The 12,454-nt window shown below is 41.8% G+C and overlaps 1 protein-coding gene across 51 annotated transcripts in view; it reads left to right on the top strand.

The window, feature by feature from the left end:
- Positions 1,659-12,454, top strand: part of CADPS (calcium dependent secretion activator) — a 477,069-nt gene continuing 466,273 nt past the window's right edge. For all 51 annotated transcript variants that reach the window (NM_183393.3, NM_001438352.1, XM_011534199.3 and 48 more), the window contains exon 1: positions 1,659-2,486. In NM_183393.3, the coding sequence (NP_899630.1) occupies positions 2,046-2,486 (441 nt within the window). In that variant the 5' untranslated portion in view covers positions 1,659-2,045. The remainder of the gene's footprint in view (positions 2,487-12,454) is intronic.

The following is a 12,454-nucleotide window of genomic DNA, read 5'->3' as shown; positions in this document are numbered from 1 at the left end:
CATTCACGCAAGCTTTTTGCAGTTTACTGACCTGGATTTGTTGATATGTTGCCTCAGAATAAGTGCTGTCAATCTTTTTCACATGTTTATGTTGTAGCTCCCAAAGGAGATTATAGACTCTTTAAGAGAATGCCTTCTAAAAATTCTATCTATCCCAAGCACCTAGAACAATGTGTTACTTCATTAAAAGGTGCTGGATAAAGGTTGTTGATCAATTGATTGGCTTACTATATTTTCTGTTCCAGGAAAACCAATACCACATGATTTGAACATCCTTTACTTCTTGAGAAGAATTAAAAAGTGAGGCTGCAAAACTGTCACAATCCCCGCACTGCTCAATTTTTTTTAAATTTTGTGTTGTTACCAAATGTGTGATGGCCACAAAAGTTGTGTCCTTGAGGTATGGTGGTGAAGTCAAATATAAGCCATCCAAGTACTTAACTCAAAAGATCAAACAGAATTGTTGAGGTTAATGTGAAACCAGTTGTTCTGAGTTCATCTGCAGGTCTCAAACAGGTCACTTTACTATCAAAGCTAGTAAAACTCATGGTAAATTATAAAATACGTAAAGACAAAAGTGATTTAAACTTTAAACTCATGCTACACTATTAAAATCACTCCCACGAGTATCTACAGATAATTAGAGAACTAGAAAATACATAAATATAGGCGATGAAGTGGAGAGGTCTCTAGATAGCCTAAGTTCTGAAGGTGGCTGGCTGGTGGTTTGTTTTCATCCATCTGCGTGCGGGTCGCAGGTTACATTCAGCACGTTGGCCAGCTCCCTCGTTTACCAGGTTTACTGGCCTAAGTGAAAGGAGCACGGGGAAGGCAGGCACCATCTGCTGCTTTGTATTAATAGTTTACCCGAGAGGCAGGGGTGAACAGAGTGCGACAGTCGACGCATTAGATGTTGACGCCGCTGAGTTCTTAGGGTGTCTTTGTCTGATCGCGGGGTCCCCAAGCCTCCACCGAGCCAGAATGGAGGGAGGGTTAAGCAACCAGAAACCCTTCTATTTTTCTGGTAGGCTCACCTCAGCAGAAAGCATTCCCAGGTCTTGGGAACTGAAGAAGATTCATCATAGATTTTGGGGGTGGGGGTAGGCAAGGTCGGGGGCGCTACATAAATGGTTGAGTTGCCTGGTCGAAACACCAATCCATTCAAAATTTGATTCACTTTTATTTTAATTAGACTGGGCGCATGCGGAATAAGTTGCTGGAATCAGAGTTTACACAGGTGGGACAAACACGCTGCCCAGCCCCCACGCCCCCCACGCCCCAGGTGTAAAGAAGCCTGGGGAAAGGAGATGGACCCTTTCTTTCCCGTATAAGATCTCACGGACTTCCTCCTCCTAAGTAAGACCTCTCGATTTAGCGTCTCCAAACAGCCCGCTCGGCTGGTTTCTGGATTTCTCCCTCCCCCAAGAACTTTTTGTCCGCGGGAGGGGAAAAGGGGTTGAGGCAATGAGAGCCAGATATCAACAAAAAAATTATCCACGAAGCCGGCAGGGGAGGAGGGTGGCAAGGTATTGGGGTCAGAAGTACTGAGGCTCTGAGGACGCTCCGCGCTCTCCCCCCTCCAGCCCTCTGCAGCAGCCCTTTACGCCGCGGACACGGGAGAGTTAAGCCAATAAACACGTAAGCGCCGCTCCCTCCCCAATCGGCAAGATGCCTCTTCGGCTCTTGGCTGCATCGACAGCTTGCAACACTCGGCATCTTTTCTGGAGGCGCCTCCTTCAGCAGCCGCAGATGGCATCCGGCTGCGGGCTCGGGGCTCGCAATTGATTCTCCCCCTTGCCCACCTCGAGTCCACGGACGCACCTCTCCCTTCCCCTCCTCCCTTCGCGCTTCTGGGTCTGAGCCCAGCTCGCGACCGCCGGGCAGAGGATCAGTCGCGGCGGCCGAGGCTGAGCAGCAGCGCTCTCGCTCCCTGACCTGGGGAGAAGCGCCCACCCGGGAGAGCTGATCCCCGGCTGCCTCCAGCGCCCCCCACCTTTTGCACTCCAAGCCGGGGGCTCCAGAGACCCCGCTCCCCAGGCGCCACTATGCTGGACCCTTCGTCCAGCGAAGAAGAATCGGATGAGATCGTGGAGGAGGAGAGCGGCAAGGAGGTGCTCGGCTCGGCCCCGTCCGGCGCGCGCCTGTCTCCCAGCCGTACCAGCGAGGGCTCGGCCGGCAGCGCCGGGCTGGGGGGCGGCGGCGCCGGCGCCGGAGCCGGGGTGGGTGCAGGCGGCGGCGGGGGCAGCGGCGCGAGCAGCGGCGGCGGGGCCGGGGGGCTGCAACCCAGCAGCCGCGCTGGCGGCGGCCGGCCCTCCAGCCCCAGCCCGTCGGTGGTGAGCGAGAAGGAGAAGGAAGAGTTGGAGCGGCTGCAGAAAGAGGAGGAGGAGAGGAAGAAGAGGCTGCAGCTGTATGTGTTCGTGATGCGCTGCATCGCCTACCCCTTTAATGCCAAGCAGCCCACCGACATGGCTCGCCGGCAGCAGAAGGTAGGTGCGCCTGGGAGGCCCAGGGAGCAGCACCCGGACGTCGCCAGGCGGGCGGGGTGAACAATGGGAGCTGGCGGCGCAGCTGGCGAGGAGGAGCAGGAGAGGTGGAGACCGCGCCCTGGGGAAAGGGCTACGAGGCCCCCTCCCAGCGGCCGGGCTCGCCCAGGCCCAGCCCAACCCAGCCTGGAGCGCTCCTGGAGCTGACTGGGACCGGCGAGGGCCGCGGAGCGCAGCGCCGCTTGCTCGAGCCCCCCCAGCCCGGGAGCGTTGGTGAGCGAGGCAGGCAGGTCCCGCTTTGTGGACCGAGAGGCTCGGGGAGTGATTTGCTGCCCGCGGCGCCCAGAGAGGCCTTGCTCGCTTGCAGGGCTCCCAGCGCTCTCCAGCGGCGGGCGGCTGCGCTCAACTCCGGGCCCGCCCTCCTGGGCGTGCGTTCGGCGGGCGGGGGCAACGGCAGGTGGGGGCGCCGAGGTGGAGGGAGAAGAGCGTCTTGGAGCAGCGCTCCGCTCGCTGGGGCAGAGAGCAACCGCAGGGGCAGGCGGGAGAAAGCAAGCCCAGAAGGCGAAGCTTCCCGTGACTCTGCGAAGGGCACCCTCCTCTCCCTGCCCGGGTCAGCTGATCACCGACTAGCGTCGCCAAAGTGTCCTCGGGCACTGCTTCCTTATGGCTGGAGTTCTCACCAGTCCCCCTGACCCTTCCTCACTGACCCCAGAGCAGGGGCACGCCCTCTGGTCCTTCCGTCCGGGTCAGCCCCTCCGCCGTCCTGTCTTTGACCCTATTCTCCTCTTCCCAAGGTGACTTCGCCGCCACCTTCTGGCTCGCCTGGGTCCTCCAAGCCCTGCCACTGCTGCCTTGATAAAGTACAGCTGCAAAAAGCTTCGCAATCTGAGGCATCAAAAGCTTTTTCTGTCTGAGGCTGGGGCAAGGCTGACATAGCTCTGGGCTGCCTTTGATGTTAAAAAAAAAAAAAAAAAGGCGCCTATTTCTATCAGCTGTTCTTTAGCTGGAGAAAGGGATGAGGGGTACTGCAAGATGAGGGGCAGTGGCGGGGGGTGGGGACAGAAGAAAAGCAGGCAGGAACCCAGCTGGAGTGAGTTAGTGAAGAAAGTCAGCGTTCTGTTCTCTTTTAAATAAATTTGCAGCACTTGAGCTATCAAAAAAGCCAGTCAAGCCCCACACAGAGGCAGTGTGAGGCCAGTCCTAACCCCATCAAGACTGTGAGACTAGTGTCTGAAAATAGTGAATCTTTCAGTTGCTGCCATTTAAGAACAAATTACATGTTGCTGTAGTAGCATTAGGTTTTCCGTATTTATCCACCCTTACCTTGAGTTAGCACAGATTTCTCTGTTTGTTTTGCTTACATGTGTACACACACCACCCAGCACTGATGATTTATTTCAGCCATCACGAGCTTGGATATCAGTTTCATTAAAAGATAAAACTGATTTCCAGGGTGAGAGACAGGAGGTGGGTTACACACAAGACTCTCCATCTTTATCTGTGGCCCCTTGTTTTTTCAATTCGTATTTTTGACTGCAGTAGAGCAAAAGTATCCTCAGAGAAGTAAAAGTTTTTGGGATATTATTTTAAGGCTGGATGTTGAGTCCACGGGGCCTAATAGTTCACATTTCAGTTTGGAATTCCTATTGTAATTGTGCCTTTACAGCATAGGAACTTCAACCTCCAAAATCTATCCCAGTAATAACAGCACCAGCCAAAAATATTCCATTCCTTTGACAATGAAAACTGTGACTTTAAGTGTTAGGTCGAAAGGGGTGGGGGAGATGTCTAGAGACATTTATCAAAGTCTCTAGAGGTCTGTCCTTTAAATAGTTGCTTAAGTCCAGAGCTAGCATGGAGAAAGAAATCCCACAGAGACACAGTTCTTCTAAACAGAAACTTCAGTTACTTTAGAGATTATTATAAGGCCAGATTTTTCTGATCTGATTGTATGCTTTACCTGAATCCACTCAAAGCTGTGGTTTTGAGGGGCATGCTGTTTGCATTTTTACACGGGAGCTTAACCTCAGAGAGACTCCAGGACAGATTGATAACACTGACATTTGGTCAAACTATTCTTAGTTATCACAGCAAACTGTTGCTAAATACATATCCCAGTGAAGCTATCCCAGAGCTTTTGGCTATACTGGGAAGCTAAATTTAAACAACAACAAAATATATATATATATCTCCTTATTACAAAAAGAAGCTTTTTCACTGCTATATCTGTAAGTTTTTAATGCCTTTCTAGAGGTGTGTTTTGCTCCTTCAAGTAGAAAGCTTAGAACTCTGATTTTTTAAAAATAAGCAATGATTGAGAGTAATTAAAAGGTTTGCATAATCACTGTGGTAAAGTTTAAAGCCAACAAATAGTTGATGAGCTAAAGTTAGTCTTGGAGAAAGATAAACTAGTTGTAAACTAAACATGAGTTTGCAGTAGAATAGAAAAGGATGAACTAGAAAAAGAGGAAAAATGTAGAGAAAGGGATAGGATGATATGGAGGTCAGAGAGAGAGAGAACGAGATCTATGAAAAGGAATTGCTGAATTGTGGAGAAAAGACCATATTGTACAGAGTATAATGCACCATATGAAACCAAATAATCTATATCACAATACTCACACCACTTTTTCAAGTATCTACTATGTGCACGGCACATAGATCATTTTTTGAAGAATAGATTTTATCTTTCTGAACAGCTTTCAATTCACTGAAAAATTGATATACGGTACAGAGAGTTCCTATATACTCCATATCTAATTTCCCTTCTTAATATCTTACAGTAGTATGGGACATGGGTTACAATGAACTAATATTGATACATTATTATTAACTAAAGTCTGTAGTTTATTCAGATTTCCTTAGTTTTTAGCCAAAGTTATTTTTTTCTGTTCTTAAATCATTTTTTAAATCTCCTAACTCTAACAATGTACAAATTGCCATCCTCGTTTTTAAAAAACTGAGACTTGGAAATTTTGTTATTTGCCTAAAGCACCACGTAGATGGGTAAAAGATGGCAATTGAAGTGTGAAACATTCTGATTCCAAATCCTATCTTTTTAATATGAGATACTGGCTAGAAATAGTCTAGGATAAAAAGAGCCCTAGAATCCTAACAACATGTCAGGTGTACTTCTTTACCCAGAGTTATTTCTCTCTGAATTGAGAGAGGTCCTCCTTTCTTCCCCTGTACACCCATCAAATATAGTCACTATGGGCAAAGTGGATGCTTAAGTATAACTTCTTAAAGAATATGAAGGAGAGGGATGGGCTTTTAGTGGGTAAATTTAACACTAGACTGTATCAACTTTACTATGTCGTTTAAACTGAAAGGAAAAAGATTTTAGCTCGGAAGAACACTTCCGAAGGAACAGAAGGAGACAGTACCATCATTTGGATAATTTTGGTAATTACTTTGGTTTCACTTTTACTGAGAAAAAGAGCATTCCAACAATCTTCCTAATTAAAGAGGGGACTTTAAACAGACTATCTGAAAAAACATTTTATTATTTACCGATATATTATGTTACATTACTGTGAATTGAAATATAACATGGCGAAATAATTTATGACCAAAACAAAAATCTCCCCACCAGAATGTAACAATGTATGTTTCAGTAGCTCAGAAATGACAGTTTGGAAAGCAGTTCTTTGCTTTTTCTTCTTCTTTTGTCAGAATGGTAAAGTGAATACCTAGAAGTTGGCATGGCAAAGCTATACCATATGTTTCTAAACTATGTAGTAACGGTGATGGGTGGCTACCTTGTGTGAACTAGCTACTTATAGTGAGGGAATGTAAAAGCAGGCACTGTTAGCAATTCATGTAATATTTAGATTGACATGACCATTTTTTAAATGATGTAGGAATTATTCTAATAGTTTAAAATGAGCATTGTGTCTACATACATAGGTATAGTGTACATGTGTGTCTGTGCATGATGGGGGAAAAGGGTAATCCTTAAAACTGTCTATTACACAGCAATTCCTATTTCATTCAAGAGGACAAATGTCTTGTAAGTTCAAGCTACTCATTTCTGTATGATTCAGCTTGTATCTGCCCATGAAATGATGGCTAATGTTGAGTCATAGCCATAGAAATTCTTTCCTTATTCATTTACTTGGGCTTATTTGGGCAAGACTAAAAAGCCATACCTTACATAAAAAGACCTAGTGCTAGCTAACTATATATGTGTGTGAGAGAGAGCGCAAGTATGTGTGTGTTTTGAATCAATAATAAAGTTGTCTACTCAGATATATTTTGAGGCACTTTGGTCTACTCAAAATTCTTAAGGTTTGCTTTGTTAGTGCAATATATGACTTGCAGTCTAAAAAAAAATTCTACCTTTTGAGAGAACAAAGTGACGATTAAACCAATTTTTCTTTAAACAGAATTGTTTCTCTTCATCAGGGGAAGAACTGAATTATTTAAATGGGCTTGTTGGCATTCTCCCCTCCCCATTTTCCTTGGTACATTGGGAAGCCGCTGTTATGCACTGATAGCAGAGACTTTCTGAAGATGCGGAATACCATGAAAGGTTCTTGCCTCATTACACCCCTAGCATAGGCTTATGATTCCCTAAAACTGGACCGAAGAACAAAGGAAATTAAATGTTTCATTCCTGAAGAATTGCACTGAGTAAAATGATAAAAGTCAAATGACTTAGGGATCTTCCCACTGCAAAAGCAAATTTAATAAACAATCGTAAGCTATCATGTTGAAATATAACCAGCATCTGTGATTTGGGGACAGGTGTCTATAAAACTTAAGCTGGAATGATGAGAGTTCTAACCTAGAAATAAGTTCTAAATAACTGACCAGTTACTCATTGCACCAAGCGCTCACCCAGGCTTGATGGCAGAAGAAATTGGTACTTGTGAGATGTGGTTCCTGAACTGGGGGAGCTTCTAGTTTGGAAGATAACATATATGTCAAATAAGCTGAATAAGAAAGTTTTAGTTGTAAGACGCTGATTAGAAGTACTAAAGTGGGGAAGGAAGAAAGAAGAGTGCATGCACACACAGGATTGGATACAGTAGTAGAAAAAAATCTTCATAGAGAAAGTAGACTAGGGTTAGGTCTTTAAAAGTTAATTTCATTTGAGTAAGCATAGGAAAAACAGGTATTGCAGTCTGGAGAAGAACACTAGGTAGCAGAAATGTGGAAAAGAGTCACTGTTAGGCAATGTCAGTCAGATTCTGTTGGTTCTAAGTGACAGAAACCCAGCACAAGTGGCTAAATCAAAAAAGAGGTTGAGTGACTTACTGGTTCATGTAAGTGAAGAGACTGGTACAGAAGTGACTGCAGGAATGGCTGGATCTAGGAGGCTAAATGACTTCCATATCAGAATGAAAAAAGCTAGATGATGAAGGGAAAGGATATACAGATTTAGCTTCCATAATCCAAAAACATAATATCTGAAATGCTCTAAAATCTTTTTGATCATGACATGATGCTCAATAGAAATGCTCATTGAAGCACTTTGGATTTCAGATTTTTGGATTAGGGATGCTCAACCAGTATGACATAAATATTCTAAAATCCTTTAAAAATTCAAAACACTTCTGCTCTCAAGCACTGAGGATAAGGAATACTCAACCTATATTTTGAAACCTGTGTTTTAGCTCAAACCCTGCCACTAATGAACAACTGATTGTAGGCAAGACTCTGGGATAATTTCTAAATCTCTCATGTGGAGATGGGGATGGACAAGCTTTGGATAATTTCTAATGTCCTCTCCAGATATAGGAGTTGATAGTTCTTTCTGGACAATGAGATTACTTTTTACCAAGACTTACAAATTCATTCAAAGTTGTATTTGGTATGTTTTTACATTACAAAATAAGACAGTGTCTTAAAGAATCCAAGATGGTTAGAGATGAAGTTAGATTTCATTAGTCCAGCTCTCTAAATCTTCACATAAGGTGAAATTTCAAAAGGTTATAAGACAGCAGACTACATGAGAGATTGCAAACTGTGGCCTGTGGGCTGAAACTGATCTACGAATGCATTTTGTCCACAAAGCGCTTTTCAAATTGTGAATTAGTTCTCAACATTTAAAACTATCAAAATATTTCACATAAAAAATCTGGATTTCTGGCTTCTCTTACAAGTGGAAGATATGACAACACTGGGCCTGAGTTTTTATGGATTTGCAAAAAGGGATGGAAATAAGACTACCCAACCATCATTTAAATAATAGAATGTTAATCACTTTTAACTAAATTGGTCCAAGATACCCATCCACCATATAAATCTGGATGGTAGGATATAAGCTGTCTGGTTCTTGCCAACACCATCTCCTTTTACAATTGCTTAACAAGTATCACTGATCTGACCCTGGCCCCTGTAAAGCATCCAAGAGAAGGACCTGAAATTTAGAACTGTGTGTTCCCTGTCTTTGGCAACTGCAGTACTTTTCTTGTTTTATAGTTTTTGCCAAATTGGAGGGCCGATGATCAAAATTATTACTTTTTCATTTGTCAGTCTAGGCATGTGATATGATTTCTGTTTTTAACAGATGAGGAAAGGGGGATGAATTCAGCCAATGCATTGAGTCTAGCCCTTGCTATTGATATATTGATGGACAGTGAAGGACAGTGGTTAAGGGTATACACTGTGAAATTAGAATGCCTGGGTTTGCTTTCTTGCTGTACCCTTATCTCGCTCTGTGATCTTAGACAATTAACCTCTCTGAGGCTCAGTTTACTCATGAATGAAATGGGAATTGTAGTGGTACCTTGATCATTGGGTTTTTGTGAAAATTAATTGAGATAATATAGTAAAGCTGTTAAAATAATATCTGGAATGTGTAAGTGCAATACAAGTGTCAGCTCTTGTTATTGCTAAGTTGATATGTGCAGTGTTTTTATCTGAAAGGACTGGGCAAGTTAATATATATGAAGTACTAGCCATCACAAGCCTTATATTCATTATTGCTATTATCATCATGAAACAGTATGGAGGAGTTTGGTGAACTAAAATGCAAGAATACCAGAAGGCAGGTAGTTATCATTAGAGTGTTACCTATAAACCAGATGGGGGTCCAGGCTACAATACATCTCTGTTCTTTCACTTTTGTTGAGACATTTCACTTGTATTTCTTTGAACAAAAAACAGGGACCCATTTGTCTGGCTTCAAAAGCTCACTTTGAACAAAAGTAACATGGATAGAATTCATAGGAGATATTTTAAATGGCTAATGCCAAGCACATGTACATGGGAAGATTTGCCACAAGCTTATCAGAAGACTCAGATAAAGGGGTCTTGGGTCACTCAATTGGTAAATGATGGGATCCTCAGAGTTCCTTATTTTCTTCATAGCCACTATGAGGAAAGGCACTATGCTCGTTATCATTGAATAGGTCACCTGCCTTTTTCAAGTCCTAATATTTTTGTCCTCAATCCAAATAGCTCTTTTAAAAATGTTGGTTTACACTAATGATACTGACTATGATATTGACTATTACCATATTGATTGTTACCATTAAAAATGAACTCATAAAATGCTTTTATGTTTGTGTAGAGAGTAAATTCTAAGCATATATATATATGTTCAAAACTTTATATATCTAGATAGAGTAAGACTCGCATAAGTAGGTAATATGCAATAGCGTACAGAGACTAAGACCTCTAACTCTGTGGACTATCAGTCCCTGGTTCAAATTCCTGGTCAGCTCTGTGACATGTTGACTTTGTGACCCTGGGGACATTATCCATGTCTTTACTTCTTAGTTTCCTGATCTGTAAAATGGGGAAAAATTATTAAGCATTGTAAGAGAAAAAACATGTTAGTTGCTTAAAATCTTTAATATGGGGTACATGGACAAATATTATCAGTAACAGTAAAAATAGTATTCTTGCATTTTAGTTCACCAAACTCCTCCACAGTATTTCAGACTACAATATCTTTGCTCATACTGTTTCTTATTGCAAAATGTCGTCCTCACCTTTCTTCATGCGATTCACTCTTGTTCATCCTTTAATTATTATAACTCAAGTGTTATCTCCTTTAGGAAACCTTACTCAAAGCTTTGTAGTGGGCTAAGTATTGCCATAAGTCCTTAGTCAATCTTTTCTTTTACCTCCTGTAGTTTATATTTAAATTACCCTTTTTACACATGCCTATCACTCACTAGACTGTAAGATTCCCATCTCCCAAAACAGTACCTGACATGTAGTAGGTGTTCAGTAAGTGTTCTACTGTTGAGACTTCACACTGATGCTTTATTTCCTAGAGAGCTTCTAAAGAGAGGAAATAGTCTAAAATACAGTCACCTTTATTACAGAGACGTTGTCTCTATAATTTTTACTTTTATAAAAGCTTCTCAGAGTGAACCAATTACCAAATGGCTTCAAAATAAGTTATGTTACAGAAACATGCTATCTATTACCTTTGACTTTGTTTGTTAATACCAAAAAGTGACAAATTTCTAGATCCATTGTAGAGAAAAGCCTTCTTTATGAATCCCTTGCAATGGGTGAATCCTAGTTGAACTTGAATCACCATAGTGTGTGTTTAAGTGATCAAACATTAAAATCAGCAGAAGCCAAAGAAATAAGTTTTCATATTGGGTGTGCATTTTTTAGTGCATTTCATTTGGGTTAGTGAAAATTAGGCTGTTTAATTTACCATCAGCCACAATGTTGCCAAAGTTGTATCACAGAACCTGTAAGTTCTACATATTTTAGGCATAAATAAATGTGCTCATTTTCTCTACTTTTATTCTCTTACAGGATTTTGGCATTATTTTCTGTTATTTTATTGTAAGCTGCCTAAAGTCCTTTCTGGGTGTAGTTAAGGTATAAATAAATAATAACTACAGAGCTACTGCATATTGGATATGGTAATAAGAATATGCTATGTAGAAAACATCAATAAAAAGTAAAACTGCTTCTTAGATATGGACTTTTCTGATACATTTCACTAGTCAAAGAAAATTATTTTTGCTGTGTTATTCCTTTTATTTTAACAAGTGGGAAAAAGGTTTGAAAATAAATTGAATTATCAAGCCCTCAAGTGTTCCCATCTGCTGTCTGCCATTCTAAAATTGAGAGATATGAAATAAATTGATAATATATTGATGTCTTTTCAACAGCCCATGGGAGGAAAATATTAATTCATCACGTGCTTCTCAGAATTACTTCTGTGCAGTAAAAAAGTTCTGGGATAATTAGAAGTTAACTTTTTTTTTTTTTTTTTTTTTTTTAATCCTTAAGTGTTCCAGGAGCACATGCTAAGTTACAAACCCTAAGGAAGTGGTGATGCTTTTAAAAAGACAATGGGATTTTGGCAAACATGCCAAGTGGTCCAGAGAATCTACTATGCCTCTTAAGAAAGCAAAGGGAAAATACTGAAAATTCCTGCAAATAATTATGCCTTCTGTTGCCCATGTAGAAAAACAGCTTTTTGGTGAGGATGGTAGGCATAGAGTTGTTTAAGCAAATGAGTTGAAGTATATCCTGAACATCTACATTGGCGATTTTTCTGACAAGTATAGCAACTGTTGTCTATAAGGCAGTGTGTCATAACATACTGTGTTCAAAACATTTCTTGGGGGTTCTTCCATATTCAAGTTTTGTTTGTTATACATCATCAGACAATGTTGTTTGAGCCACTTCTATGTATGAGAAACTCACTAGATCCTGTAGAAAAAGTATGTAAAGTCATTTTAGATGGCCTTCCTGATCTCTAGGAACCTAGCAATCTGGTTGAGAAGTTGAGATACACTGACGTAGACTAAGTCAGGATAGTGTGAGTGTCTGAATTGTAAATATTGGTGTTTTCTAGATTTCCATTCTTGGCTCTTGTTATGGGTTTATTATGTTCCCCCCAAATTTATATGTCAAATTCCTAACCCCCACTGCCTCAGAATATGACTTTATTTGGAAGATTAAGATGAGGTCATTAGGGTGGGCTATAATCCATTATGACTGATGTCCTTATAAAATGGGGAAATCTGGACCCAGAGATA

Source organism: Homo sapiens, chromosome 3, assembly GCF_000001405.40.
Source record: "Homo sapiens chromosome 3, GRCh38.p14 Primary Assembly".
In the NCBI taxonomy this organism is placed as follows: Eukaryota; Metazoa; Chordata; class Mammalia; order Primates; family Hominidae; genus Homo; species Homo sapiens.
This window is presented reverse-complemented; position numbering and strand designations above follow the sequence as displayed.